This window comes from Homo sapiens, chromosome 4 (assembly GCF_000001405.40).
Source record: "Homo sapiens chromosome 4, GRCh38.p14 Primary Assembly".
Taxonomy (NCBI): Eukaryota; Metazoa; Chordata; class Mammalia; order Primates; family Hominidae; genus Homo; species Homo sapiens.
The window spans coordinates 815,052-828,643 of NC_000004.12; the positions used below are offsets into that span (position 1 = coordinate 815,052).

The following is a 13,592-nucleotide window of genomic DNA, read 5'->3' on the forward strand; positions in this document are numbered from 1 at the left end:
AAAAGAGCTCTTGGAAATTAAAAATATAAATGCAGAAATTAAAAATTCAGTTGAAGTGTTAGAAGATAAAAATAAGGGGTCAGGCGTGGTGGCTCACGCCTGTAATCCCAGCACTTTGGGAGGCTGAGGCGGGTGGATCATCTGAGGTCAGGAGTTCAAGACTAGCCTGGCCAACATGGTGAAACCCCGTCTCTACTAAAAATACAAAAATTAGCCAGTCATGGTGGCAGGTGCCTGTAATCCCAGCTACTCGAGAGGCCGAGGCAGGAGAATTGCTTGAACCCAGGAGGTGGAGCTTTCAGTGAGCCGAGATTGTGCCACCGCACTCCAGCCTGGGTGACAGAGCAAGACTCCGTCTCAAAAAAAAAAAAAAAAAAAAGAACTACAGAACAAAGAAAAGACTTTATAAGAAGTGTAATCGCAGTGCACTGCAGGGCTCAGCGCTAAGCAGTATTTACATACAGCCACGGAGGGGCATGGGGGCAGGTTTGTAAGCACCGAATGCTCTGGAGCCCTTACAGGAGGTTAACACGTGGCATCTGAGATGACCCCGTGTGGCACTTACTCAGAAACATAAGACACACACCTCTGAGTGGGGCAGCTTAAGAAGTCCGTTATTGTAAGTTCCACAGTATCTTGTTCAGTCTCAGCTGCAATTGTAACAGGTTTCACAGGTCATAAATCTCAGCGGCACTTGGAGAAGCACCGTGAGAGGCTGTTGATACAGTGTTTGCCACTGCAAACCTGGCTTCTGCCCAGGCTCTTGTTACAACGGGTGGGGAAGTTGCAGACATTTACACACCACTTCCAACTCTGTAACTTGGACTTAGGTCTCTACTGATTCCATATCTCATCATCAAAAAGTTGACTTTCTGTCTAAATGTCTGCAAAATAAACAAAAACTTCCCTGAACTATCCACCCATTCAAAGATCTTTTGTTGTCTGTCCTTGAGAATATAAACGCCTGTTAAGGGAAATTATATTTGTTACAATGTTTATGTTGAGCTATTTAAGTTATATTCACCTTGGAGGCTGGTTTTTCTCACCAGCCTGAGACCTCAGCTCACTGACTGCACTCACTAGTCCTAATAAATCAACAGCACTAGCAACTTTGCAGTGTCTCTTAAATTTACAAGTGGATCTGAAGGCATTCTCCGTGAAATTTTTTTTTTTTTTTTTTTTTTTGAGACAGAGTCTCACTCTGTCACCCAGGCTGGAGTGCAGTGGTGCAGTCTCGGCTCACTGCAACTTCCGCCTCCCGGGTTCAAGCAATTCTCCTGCCTCAGTCTCCAGAGTAGCTGGGATTACAGGCGCCCACCACCACACCCGGCTAACTTTTGTGTTTTTAGTAGAGAACAGGGTTTCACCATGTTGGCCAGGCTGGTCTTGAACTCCTGACCTCGTGATCCACCTGCCTCAGCCTCCCAAAGTGCTGGGATTACAGGCATAAGCCACTGCGCCCGGCCAAAAATATTCATAAATGAAGTGATGAATGATTTCAAAACAATGCAGTATCTCAATTTTCCCAGTGATTTTCTCATATCACTTCTTTATACTTATTATTTGAATTCTCTTCCTAGCCTGGGAAACATGGTGGGACCCTGTCTTAAAAAAAAAAAAATTAGCCAAGTGTGGTGGTACACACCTATAGTCCCAGTTATTCAGGAGGCTAAGGTAGAAGGCTCACTTGAGCCCGGGATGTTGAGGCTGCAGTGAGCTGTGATCGCTCCACTGCACTCCAGCCTGGGCGACAGAGCGAGACCCTGTCTCAAAAATTACAAAGACCAAAAGATGGGAGAGGAGTCGGAAGAGTATAAAGTGTGCAGAAGTCCTGGAAGTGTGTTGGCAAGGACTGGAAATACACTGCATCATTTTCAACTCTGGCAAGTAGAGCTTACATCATGTTTTCAAAGAGCACGCACATTCCAAAGCACTGCAGAGGTTTTAAAGAGAAAATGTGGTCCCTACATTAAGTTAAAATAAATGAAACAGCAAGAAAGCGTTTAAAAAGGCAACAACAAAGATGACAGAGGTTAGATCACATATGTTGGTCAAAACAGTGCACATTAAACAGATGCATTAAGGCTCCAATTAGATAAAAAATGAAATCCAACTACATGTATTTCTGAATGGCAACCCACATAAAGTGACAGAAACGTTAAGCAAGGCTCAGCAGGGGCACACTGGGTGAATGTAAAAAAAAAAAAAAAAAAAAATTCAGGCCGGGCGCAGTGGCTCACGCCTGTAATCCCAGCACTTTGGGAGGCCGGGGCAGGTGGATTGCCTGGGTTCAGGAGTTCGAGACCAGCCTGGGCAACACAGTGAAACCCCGTCTCTACTAAAAAAAAAAAAAAAAATTAGCCAGGCGTGGTGGCAGGCACCTGTAATCCCAGCTACTCAGGAGGCTGAGGCAGGAGAATCGCTTGAACCCAGGAGGCGGAGGTTATATGAGCTGAGATTGCGCCACTGCACTCCAGCCTGGGCAATAGAGCGAGACTCTGTCTCAAAAAGAAAAAAAAAATCAGTCCAAGGAGACTCCTAGGCAAAAATTAAAACAAGACCCAGCATAATCAGGATAATTTAATATTAATTAAGAGAAAAATTTTAAGTAAGGATGGAGCATCAGGAATCCCTACCCACTGATGACTGCAGTGACCGCCCCCTTCCCTCACGCCCCCTTGGCCATGAGGATTTCCTCCTCCAGGCCCTGGGGCTCCCTTCCCCTCCACTTCCATCTGGAGATGCTGCTGGCCAGAGACCCTCCCCAGGTGCCCATTGGAGGGTGCATTGTTCCCACCAGCCGTGAGGGGAGGTCCTGTGGGCACGCTGGACATAGTATCTCAGAATATTTTCCCCATCCGGTGTCAAGGAATAAACCAGCATCTGAGGAGCCAAGTCTGACAGGGGACACTGGAGGCGCCACCGCCCTCGGGGGTGGCTCACTGTCCACCTGTCATCCCTGAGCGCATTGGGCAAGGTCAGAAGAATGACCACAGGTGAATCTGGTGTAAAAGAAGGTTGGCTTTTGGCTCCTGTTCTTGCATTGCAGACAAGCCCACACCCCTCCTGAGAGCTGGGTGTCCAGCCTGCTGCCCGAGAGGCCCCAGTGCAGCTGAGCACAGGTCCAAGCCAAGCCTGGTTCGCCCCAGCCCTTGGGGAGGGGAGGCACCGAGGCGCTGGAGAGGTGTTGCAGCACCGGGCCATGCCCGCCTGACCTGCTCACCTGCTGACACCCAGGGGCCCTGGGCCTGGCTGGCCGCCACCACCTTACTTTGTCAAGCTGATTGTGGACCAGCCCCAGCCCCGCCACGGGCCTCGACTGCCACCGTCTCAGAGAGGCTGACATGGTGGCCTCACAGGTCCCCGGGCCCAGCGTCTGATGCACGTCCTGCAATGCTCCCTCTGTTTTGCGCCCACGCTGAAGTGCCACAAACACCTCTTCTCTCCTCAGCAACTCTGGTGGCTTTGCAGATCTTCATTAGCTCACCTGGGATGAGACGCTGACCTGAGCTGGAGCTGGGGTCCTGCAACCATGGCCAAGGCCCCCCGTCCACACCGCCGAGGCCAGGAAAGCCGCGCCATGTGAGTGACGGGAAGAGGCCGAATGAGGGCCAAGGATTACAACTGTCCTGGAAACCGGCGGCTGCGCCATCTGCCGCCGAGCTTGGCACTGTTTGGGTCACTTATTGGCACGTCCACCTCGCCTGTCTCCACGCATCCTCTCCTGAAAGCGAGGACCAGGTGCTGTATTGAAGAGCTGGGCGCTCGGTCCGCAGGCAAGGACAGCAGTGCCCGCGGCCAAGGACGGTGCTGGACTGGATGGTGGAGCTGGAGGGTGGGGCCTCGCCTCATCCCGGGGGACCGCCTAGTGGAAGGGCTGCCAGGCACTCAGTGTCCCCCTCGTCTGATCTCCGTGTGGACCAGGAGACCCAGGTTCTCTGAAGTTTGGCAGCATCAGATTTGCGTGGACTCAATGTTCATTCTGAAGCTTTCATCAGTTCCCTGTTCTGTCTGATGTCCCAGCATTAAACGCTCTGCGCTCCCCGTGCGAGTCCAGCAGCGTCTGATGGCAGCAAAGCGGGACTGAAGTAGTCCTGTCACGCAGGAGCTATTGAAACAAATGCTCTAACCCCAACTGGAACGTCTTGCCAACCAATGAGGCAAAAACATAAATAACTTTGTCAGTTGAAGTGCATAATATCCATTTTATTCCCAAGTTGGGGCTAAAGTATTTATAATTGAGTTGCAGCTTAATCAACCAAGAGCATCCTCTCTGGAGGAAAGGACTGCCCTTCACGGTTTCGGGAGGAAAGGCAGTTTCTCTGAAGGGTCCTTCCAGCCTCCCAGAAATCTGGGATAAGAGGCATCTCTGCCGAACCCAGCAAAGTGAGTGAGTGCTTTCTCGACCACACGGCGTTTGTGAAGTCCGTTCTGAACAAATGTTGGCATTTTACTGTTAAGTGTTTGCAAACTGCCTTTCGAGCACATGCCTTGTTCCAAGGAGTAAGGCTGGGAAGGACACACTGCTGGGGGGTCATTGCCTAGCGGTTCTGCACCTAGAAACCAAGTCTCCCCAAGTTGGGTGTGAGTCAGGCACTGTGGGACGCCTGCCCAACACCCGGCCTCTGTTTGGAGTAGGACGGGCCCACCCTGGCCCCCACCTTCCTCTTCTAGCTGTGGCAAGTAAATGGAAACCCTCCATGAGAGTCTGTAAAGACCACCACTAAACAGATGAAGGGGTTGCCCCTTAGCTCCTCTCTTTTTCCTTCCCTGACTATGGATGCAATGCTGGAGCAGCAGCAGCCACTTTGAGATTGTGAGGAGCAGCTGAGCATGAAAGATCCACTGAGGACGAAGGTGGCACCTGATGGCACCAGGTCCCCAGTAGCATCGCTGAGCAGCTGGGCCACCTCCTGACACATCGTCACCCCAATTCAAGCTCCTCTTCCTCTGATTGTTACTTGCAGCCAAAAGAATCTTCCCCATGTGGAATTCAAGAGCTTCACCTCCGGATCTGCTGCTGTCCCTGCAGCTCAGCCCAGCCTGCAGCTCCACCGTCCTCCCAGGTCCAGCTCAGCCCAGCCTGCAGCTCCACCGTCCTCCCGGACCCAGCTCAGCCCAGCCTGCAGCTCCACCGTCCTCCCGGACCCAGCTCAGCCCAGCCTGCAGCTCCACCGTCCTCCCGGACCCAGCTCAGCCCAGCCTGCAGCTCCATCGTCCTCCCAGGTCCAGAGAGCCTGATCAGTGGCCCAATGGGGCAGGAACTGGCAGAATCCCCCATTGCCTCAACCACCAGGAGCCTGTGGGGTCCCTAATAAACAGAGAAGGCTGAGCTTCAAACTGGGCAAGAAGAGAGAGGCAGGAGAGCCAGAGGGACCTCTGTCTGGGACAGGGTGGACACCCAACCTTGCCCATGGTGTAAGTCTCAGGGGTGGACACTGGGAATCAGGGCAGGATTGCCCAGATCCCAGTTGCCTCCATGGCCCTGCCTGAGGTCCCAGATGGTGAGTGCTGAGCCCCACTTTGGTGCCGGGAAGGAGGAAGGAGGTGCCCCCTCCATCCCCGTGGAGGGCTGGGGGAGATGCTGGTGTTGGCTGCATTGTGGCTCAGGGCATCCCTGGCCTGGACTCCTGGCTCTGGTGGTCTCTGCTCACAGAGGGAGATTCTTTCCCAACTGCACCCCTCACCAGCCTCACGTGAACCCCCAAGGTGGACACCCCTCACCAGCCTCACGTGAACCCCCAAGGTGGACACCCCTCACCAGCCTCGCGTGAACCCCCAAGGTGGACACCGGTGGCCCCCACAAGCCCCTTGGGTTGTTCCTGCCGAGAACTCACAGCCCAGCCCCACGGGGGCGCGGAGGGGCTCTCCCACACGGTGGAACCCTGCACTTCCTGCCTGGGCCGTCCACGAGACACTTCTCGTCCACCCCGGCTTGGATGACCACAATCCTCCCCCTCACGCCAAACCCAGGACCGCACCCCTACGGTGTGTTCTCCCCAGATGTTCACCTGCTTCCCTCCCCATGTAGGACTGGACACAGAACCCAACAGCGTACCACTCTCCGGGGACAAGGACAGCTTCTCCACTGAACCCAGGCCAGGCTGTCGCCCCCCAGGTTGGGCCTGGCTGGGTGAGGGGCATTCACTGCCGGACACTGTCCATCGTGACTGAACCACCGGAGTCACTGGACCTGCCCGCTAGACCTCCCCACACGTGGCAGAGCCGAGCATGGGTGAGTCCTGCCTTGGGCTCTGTCGCTGGGGCAGTCAGAGGCTCTCCTGAGTGTCCGGCTGCCTCCCACTCTGCACCCCAGCCTCTCCGCACATGCATCCTCCAAGCCGTGTCCCACCTGAAGCCCCGGCCCGCCTGCCCCACACATTCCCGAGGACCTGAGCGTGTTTAAACAGGGCGTGTGTCACATCAAGGCGGAGGATGGGAGAGCGGGTGGCTGCTCGCTTCTGCCACATTTAGCCCCATGAGGGTCTGCAGTGACCACGGCACCCACACGTGCCACGTTCCTCCACGCTGTCCACAGAGCTCCCAGGCCGTGTTTGCAACTTTCTGGCCTGAGGAAACCAGTTTCTTTAAATTACTCCCTTGAGGACCCTGGATCCGGACCCACGTGTTGTGGGGGGAGGCCCGGCCCCAGTTCAAGGCCACTTTTGCTGCAGAGGAGCCTCCCGCTCCCCCACGAGCGATCACCCCGGCAGCCACCATGCTCCCTTCCCTTGGTGGCCCCAACAGGGGCCCCTCCTTGAGACCCAGCGTTGGGTCAGATGAGCAGGCCCTGGGCCACTCACTCCTCAGCAAGACTCACACCTGCGGCCCAGCCTGCCGCGGACAGCCCCCGAATGGTCTTGATTTAACCAGGCCTGTCCCCCTGCCCAGAGCCCTGGGCAGGTCCTCACCTCTTCCTCCTCTCTGCTGCACCCTCTGACGGGCGTGCACGTGTGCATGTGCCATGCTGCCTGCGCTCCTGGCCCTGACTCCTCTTAGCAGTTCATTTCTAATGCGTCTCTCTCCCCACTGTCTCTCCCTCTGTCTCTGTCTCTCCCTCTGTCTCTGTCTCTCCCTCTCACCACTGTCTCTCCCTCTGTTTCTGATTCTCCGTCTCTCCCCATCTCTGTCTCTCCCTCTGTCTCTGTCTCCATCTCTATCTCTCTAACTCTCTCTGTCTCTCTCTCTCCTTCTGCCTCCACCTCTCCCTCTGCCTCTCTCTGCCCTCTTCCTTTGTCTGTCTGTCTCTCTGTATCCCTCTGTCTCTCCCTCTGCTCCCATCTCTCCCTGTCTCTGTTTCTCCCTGTCTCTGTCTCCCTCTGTCTCTGTGTCTCCCTCTATCTCTGTCTCCGTCTCTCCCTCTTTCTCTCTCTCCCCTCTGCCTCTGTCTCTGACGTGCCGTCTCTGTTTTCACCTGTCTGTCCCTGTGCGTGCTGAATAACACATTCTTGTCTTTTTCTCTGTCTGTTTCTGGGCTGTCATTTTCTTTCTCCAGCTCCCCCTCCCCGACCCTGTTTCTGGGTTCGCCTTTCTTTGAACGGCTTCCTGGGTGCCTCCTGCTCCCTCTCCTGCCAGCTTCTTTGTGTCCGGGGCTTGGTCTGTTTCTCAATAGTTCTCTTGGGGTCTCTGCCAAGCTCTGTCGTGCTGTCTGGAGGTTCCCCCATTTCCCATCTCTGTCTTGCTCTGTCTCACTCACACGCATCCTGAGACAGCAACAATGAGGCTCGCCGGGTGAGGGACAGAGGCGCAGAGGCAGAAAACAAGGTCTCGACTGGAAGCCCCCCACCAGCTCCCGCCCTCAGCAGCTCTGGCTCCGAGCCTCAACGTGCTCTGCAAAGCCAATGTGGGGTGCTCTGGGAAGCACTCAGCGTGGAGCCCCCCCAGGGTCTGCTGGCTGCCCCCGCTCAGCTCCACCACGCTGAGCGACGCCTGCCCGGTTGCTGCTGCTGGAGAAACTTTGGGCTGCCATGAAACAAAAAGGGAATTCAGGCTGGTAATTACCCAGCTAATTTCAGTCATGTAGACAGCCAAATAAGATATTTCAGTTTCTTACAAGCCCACCTCAGGGCCTGAATTAGCCAACTAATTAATTATCCGTAACAGCCTGGGACTCCCTGGGTGGAACGTGCGTCCCTCCCAGCGCAGATGCAGGCTTGTCCCTGAATCACAGCCCGGTGACGCAGCCATTATAATTAGACTCAACCTGACTCTTACCCTTGACCACGAAATCTCAGGGATGTGGCCCCAGGACAGGCTCAATATCTTTTCATTTAATTTGTGTTGAGTGGAAGCACAGCCACCCTCCGGGAGACAGCCAGGCAGGCAGCTCCTGCCCTGGGGGAAGCGGCGCCTGCCCTCTGTACACCCTTGTCCCTGGCCCCTCGAACCCGGCCAGCTCCCCCACTGCAGAAATGCTCCCAGGAGGCCTGACTCACTCCAAGGTGTGAATGGCATCAGGTGAGGGTGCTCCCCCGTGGAGGCCACCCAAGCAAGACGTCTCTAGTGGTAGAATCGGGCACCGGCCACAGGTTCCCCTCACAGGAGTTCTGGGCACTGGTGCTGGGGGAACACAGGATGGACGGCTCTGGGCAAAACTGAGACTCGCCACGACAGCCCCGAGGCCTGAGTTGACCCATCAGCTCTGCCGGGACACGTCTGTACCAGCATGGCCCAGGCCCTGCCCACCTCCTGGTCTAGGAACCCAGCCACTGCTCTTGACATGGTCTCTGGCCACAATGACAGCCTTGGGTCAAGTGGGGACGAGGTTCCTTTCAAATAGCAGACAGCAGGTTGGAAGGGGGCCTGGCCCCACCCCAGTACACACAAAAAAGGCTGCACGTCCCGCCTGGGAGGCAGTCGAGACACACAAGCTGTTTCGGGCCTTTTCCTTCGCTCCCGTAACCAGCAAGCCCTGGTCCCTGAGGATGGCGCTGCCTCACCCAAGTGAAACCCACAGGGTCCTCGCCAGATGCACAGGCCAGCTCTGTCCCCACGCCTGTCCCTGAGGCTGCCACCTGCATCCTGCTCTCCCACCGCTTGGCTCTCCTCATCTGGAAGGAAGCCCCCTTGGGGGCTGCCCAGCCTGGCCAGTTAGAATTGGCCCTGTAAAGCCTACGCCAGAGTGTGCACCCTCCCCCAGGACGTGCATCAGCATGGTCCATGGGCTCTGCCCCGACCACAGCAGTGGGGCAGAGTGAGCTTACAGGGCAGCCCCTGTCCCGCCAGGAACACCAGTTCTGGCTCGGGGCCTCGAAAAGGGCCGGGCTGGGGGCGCTGCTGGGCACGGTCCTTGCTCCTCTGCCCCAGGCTCCTGTGCAGGGCTGCGTGGGTGGCCGTGTGGCTGCAGGGGCGCTGCTGCGGTGGGCCAGATGAGGAGCAGCTGCTGTGGTGGTCTCTCCATGTCCCCTCAGCCCCTCCCCACCCCACCTCCCGCTTCCTACCTCCTAGAGCCTGCTTCATCACAAACTCCATGGCGATTGCTCTGCTTCCACAGTGGCTCCTCCAGGGGTCAGAACTCACACGCAAGTATGGCCGGGAGCGAGTGTTCTTCCTGGGGGAGAGTGAAGTGGTCACAGGTCACCCTAAGCAGGCCCCTGCCTGGCCTTCCCCAGAGACCATCATTCCTTACCCGCAATACCTTGTGGGCTGGACCCTCCCCCACCTGGAGCGGCTGCCTGGGAAGTCCTTCGTGAGGGGCTTCTGTCCCCACACCCAAACCAGGACCCCAGAGGACCTGAAAATGGTCTCCCCAGCTCCTGGGGTGTCTGAAGCCTCTGCAGGGAGGGCTGCTGATGGCTTAGGGGGCATCGCTCAGAGGCGCCTGGCGCCAGGCTGCGGAAGCAGGGGCGGGGCCCAGGGGGCGTTTGAAGGTGACTGCTCCGCTCTGCAGCTCAGTGTCTGGAGCGGCGCCTCCGCGGTGGTCCCGAGCCCAGGGCCGTGGAGAAGGGTTGGGGGTGGGTCTTTGAGCGGGTACCCTTCAGGGCGGGCTCCTGTGGCTTCTGACCAGGGAGGCTTGGGTGACCCTATCCCTGACGGCACTGCAGTCAGTGTGCCCCCCACATGGCCCGCGTAGAAGAGATCGGGGTTGGGGAGAAACTTCAGGGGGCTCAGCCTTCAGGAAACACGTGGGGACGGGGACAGAGCACCCCCGCCCCGGGGGCGTGCATGGGGTGGGGTGGGGCGCTCTGGTCCCCTCTTGGGAAGCCGCTTTCTGAAATCACAGCAGCCGCAGTGAGCCCCCCGGTTTTGCGGGGTCTCTCCTATCGGGGAACCCCAGGTCCCTGGAGAGACACTGTTTGACGGTTCACCCCTCGCCCTCCGCAGAGGAAGGAGACTCGCGCGGGGACTGGGAGGGCGGCGGGCGGGGAGCGCCCCTCGGAGGCTTTGCCGCAGCGCCGATTCTCCTCCAAACTTCTCCCCTGGCTCCCGCGGCGCGGGGAAGGAGGGCACGGCCGGGCCCCGCAGACCCGCAGGGCTCCGGCCCCGCCGCACCCGCACCCCTCGGCTTTGCGGGCGGGCGAGCGGCCCTCAGGCGGGAGCGCGCCAGGAGAGGAAAGAAAGAGGGCGAGGGAGGAGAGGGGGAGCCTCGAGACAGGAAGAAGCGAGGAGGAGGCCGGGCGCGGGCCGGGACCGCGGGGGCCGCTTCAGCACCGCGGCAGTGGACAGCGCCCGCCCCGGACCCCGCGCGCGCGGAGCCCGGGAGAGAAACGGGGGCTGCGGGGAGAAGCCGGGGTCGGGGGGAGAAACGGGGGCCGGAGGGAGAGGCCGGAGCCGGGGGGAGAAGCCGGAGCCGGGGAGGAGAGACCCGGGGAGCGGAGGCCGGGGGGAGGAGCTGGGCGAAGCCGGGGCCGCGGGGAGAAGGGGGGCCGGGAAGGAGAAACCGGGGCCGGCGGGAGAAGCGGGGAGAAGCGGGGGCCGGGGAGGAGACGCCGGGGCCGGGAGGGGAGACCCGGGGAGCGGAGGCCGGGCGCGCGCTGCGCTCGGGGCGCGGTTACCTTCCCGGGGCGCGGGCGGTCAGCGGCGGGGCGCGCTCGGGCCGGCTGGGTCCATGTGGCGCCCGGTGAGCTGCGGCGGCGGCTGAAGGGCACCGCGAGGAGGGCGCGTCACTCGCAGGCGCTCCCCGCCCCCCGCCCGCGTCCGAGCGTGACGAGCACGGGGAGGGGAGCGCCGAGGGGCGGGGCCGCGGGCGCCGGGCGGGGGCGGGGGTGGACCCGGGGGCGGGGGCGGAGGCGGACCCGGGGGCGGGGGGCGGGGGGTGGACCCGGGGCGGGGGCGGGGGGTGGACCCGGGGGCGGGGGCGGGGGGCGGGGGCGGGGGGCGGACCCGGGGCGGGGGCGGGGGGTGGACCCGGGGCGGGGGCGGGGGTGGACCCGGGGGCGGGGGCGGGGGGCGGGGGCGGGGGCGGGGGGTGGACCCGGGGCGGGGGCGGGGGTGGACCCGGGGGCGGGGGCGGGGGTGGACCCGAGTGACGCGCCCCCGCCTCCCTCCAACCCGGCCCGGGCTCGACCTTCCCCCGGCGGGCGCCTGCGACCCCCGCCCGCCCCTGATCTGGGCGCCCCCGGCTCTGCCCCCCCGCCCCCAGCCCGACGGTGCGGGCCTGCTCCCTACAGGGTCCGCGCGGGGCCGGTGGGTGCAAAACCCTCGGGCGGAGAAGTCGCTGCCTCCCGAGCGGAGGGGCCAGGGGTTGGGAGTCGCTGCCGCCCCCATTCTCCGGTGACCGTGTCCCTGAGCGCCGCCCGCCGCCCCGACCCCTCTGCCCCGACCTCCCCGTATCGCAGGGCGGGAGAAGGGGGCCCCCAGACCCCTGAAAACCCACGCAAGCCCCTCGCAGCCAGAGACCCGCAGGCCGGCCCGGGCTCACTTTCGGTGTAACGGAGTCGCTGTTTCCTTTACCGGGACGAAGGCCAGAGACCCCACCGCTCCCTCCCCTGGCCCCCGGGATTTCCTCTGCAGCGGACGCGGCACTGCGGGAGAGCGGGGTCGCCGCAAGGTCGGCCCTGCGGTTCGCGCTGTGCAGTGTCGGGAGCCAGGCGGCGGGAGGGATGGGGCGCACCGCGACCCTAGAGCTGCCCTGTGCTCCTGGCGGGGTGGGGGTGGGGAGGGGGGAGGGGGGCCGCTGCCGGTGGCCGCCGCACTAACTTGTCACTGTCCCCTCCCTGCTGAGTCCTGGGGACTCCCCTGGCGCAGGGAAGATGCGGCCCCTCCCCCGCCCTCAGCCCCATCCCCTCCGGTGCCCCGTGTTTAGCCTGAGCTCAGGAGGACTCAGAGGCCTGGACTCCCAGCCTTGGCCCCAGCGCCTCTGCCCCCGTCCCCACTCTTCTGCTGACTTGGCAGGGGACCCTTCGCAGAGGAAGGGAGCGCTGGGGGAGAGGGAAGGGTGAAGGCACCAGGGCCAAGCCCATGGGGGCTCCCTGAGACAGCCATGAGGGTCCCGTGGGCCTGGGGGTTCACAGGCAACCTCCCAGAGGGGGACCCATGCCCTAGGATTGGGGTCTCTTCAGCCTCCCTGGCTGGAAGCCATGGGCACCCCCAGCACCGTCCCTTCCTCTCTCCCGGGATCTGAGCCAAGTGGGCTCAGAACGTTGGGCCCAGGGACAGGAGGCAGGACACATGCCTGGGGGCCCGGCCTGAGCCCCAGCCTGCTCTGCTCCATCTGCTCCTCTAGTCTCCTCAGGACCTGGGAGGGGACAGCAAGGGTGAGATGTTCGGGTCCAAGAAAGAGGTCACTTCTCGGCCCTGGTGCTTTCTCTCTCCATCCCTAACTGGGTGGATAACCCAACAGCTAACCCGGACAGTAACCCCAGAGAGGACCCCAGGGGTGACCCCCTGAGCCCAGAGCCAGGCTCATGACTGACCCTGCCACCTCCACAAGCTGCATGCAAGGGATATGCTGGTGCCTTTGGGACAGTCTGCACAGGAGTGCAGGGAGGTGCCCGTTCTTCCGAGCAGAAGCACTGGACTCCTAGGCTGACCCCTCCCCGTTCTACAACCCAGGCCAGCCTGAGCTCCAAGCACACCTGGAGCTGGGGCCTGGGGCACAGAGGACAGAGACCCTCTGCCAGCCCTCACGTTCTGCCCTGTCTTCCTCTGCCTCTCTCTCTGTCTCTTTCTCCGTCGCTGTATCTCTCTGTCACTGTGTCTTTCTGCCCGTCTCTCTGTCTCTATCTTTCTGTCTCTGTCTTTCTCTGTCACTGTATCTGTCTCTGTGTCTTTTTGTCTCTCTGTCTCTTTCTATCTCTGTCTCTGTCTTTCTGTCTTTTCTTTCTCTGTCGCTGTATCTCTCTGTCTCTGTGTCTGTCTCTGTCTCTCTGTGTCCGTCTCTCTCTGTCTCTGCCTGTCCCTGTTGTTACTTGTTACATCCAGCCACACATGCAGTGACTGCTTCTCAGCTCTCACACTTGTCTAGGCCCTAACCTGGGGGTGGGGGGGCCCAGCCACAACTTGGGGGAAATAGACAAGGTTGGTGACAGCCCCAGGTCAGAGTGACAAGTGGCCTAGGGAAGGGAAAGTGGGCATCTGCTGGAGGAGTTGAGGGTGGTGCCCACTCAGGGTGTGTGAGCTGGGCCAGGGGAAGGGAAAGTGGGCATCTGCTG

At 60.2% G+C, this 13,592-nt stretch overlaps 1 protein-coding gene across 1 annotated transcript in view, besides 1 other annotated feature; it reads right to left on the reverse strand.

Moving 5' to 3' along the window:
• The window catches only part of CPLX1 (complexin 1), a 41,173-nt gene extending 30,095 nt beyond the window's left edge, over positions 1-11,078 (reverse strand). The window contains exons 1-2 of the mRNA NM_006651.4: positions 10,995-11,078; positions 9,441-9,550 (exon numbers count right to left, since the gene is read on the reverse strand). Of these exons, the coding sequence (NP_006642.1) occupies positions 9,441-9,471 (31 nt within the window). The 5' untranslated portion in view covers positions 9,472-9,550; positions 10,995-11,078. The remainder of the gene's footprint in view (positions 1-9,440; positions 9,551-10,994) is intronic.
• Positions 11,048-11,097: a silencer, noted in NCBI's record as "silent region_15111". NCBI's record gives its function as "represses an Ori minimal core promoter by ATAC-STARR-seq in GM12878 lymphoblastoid cells {active_cell/tissue: GM12878}" and the evidence as "EXISTENCE:reporter gene assay evidence [ECO:0000049][PMID:35858748]".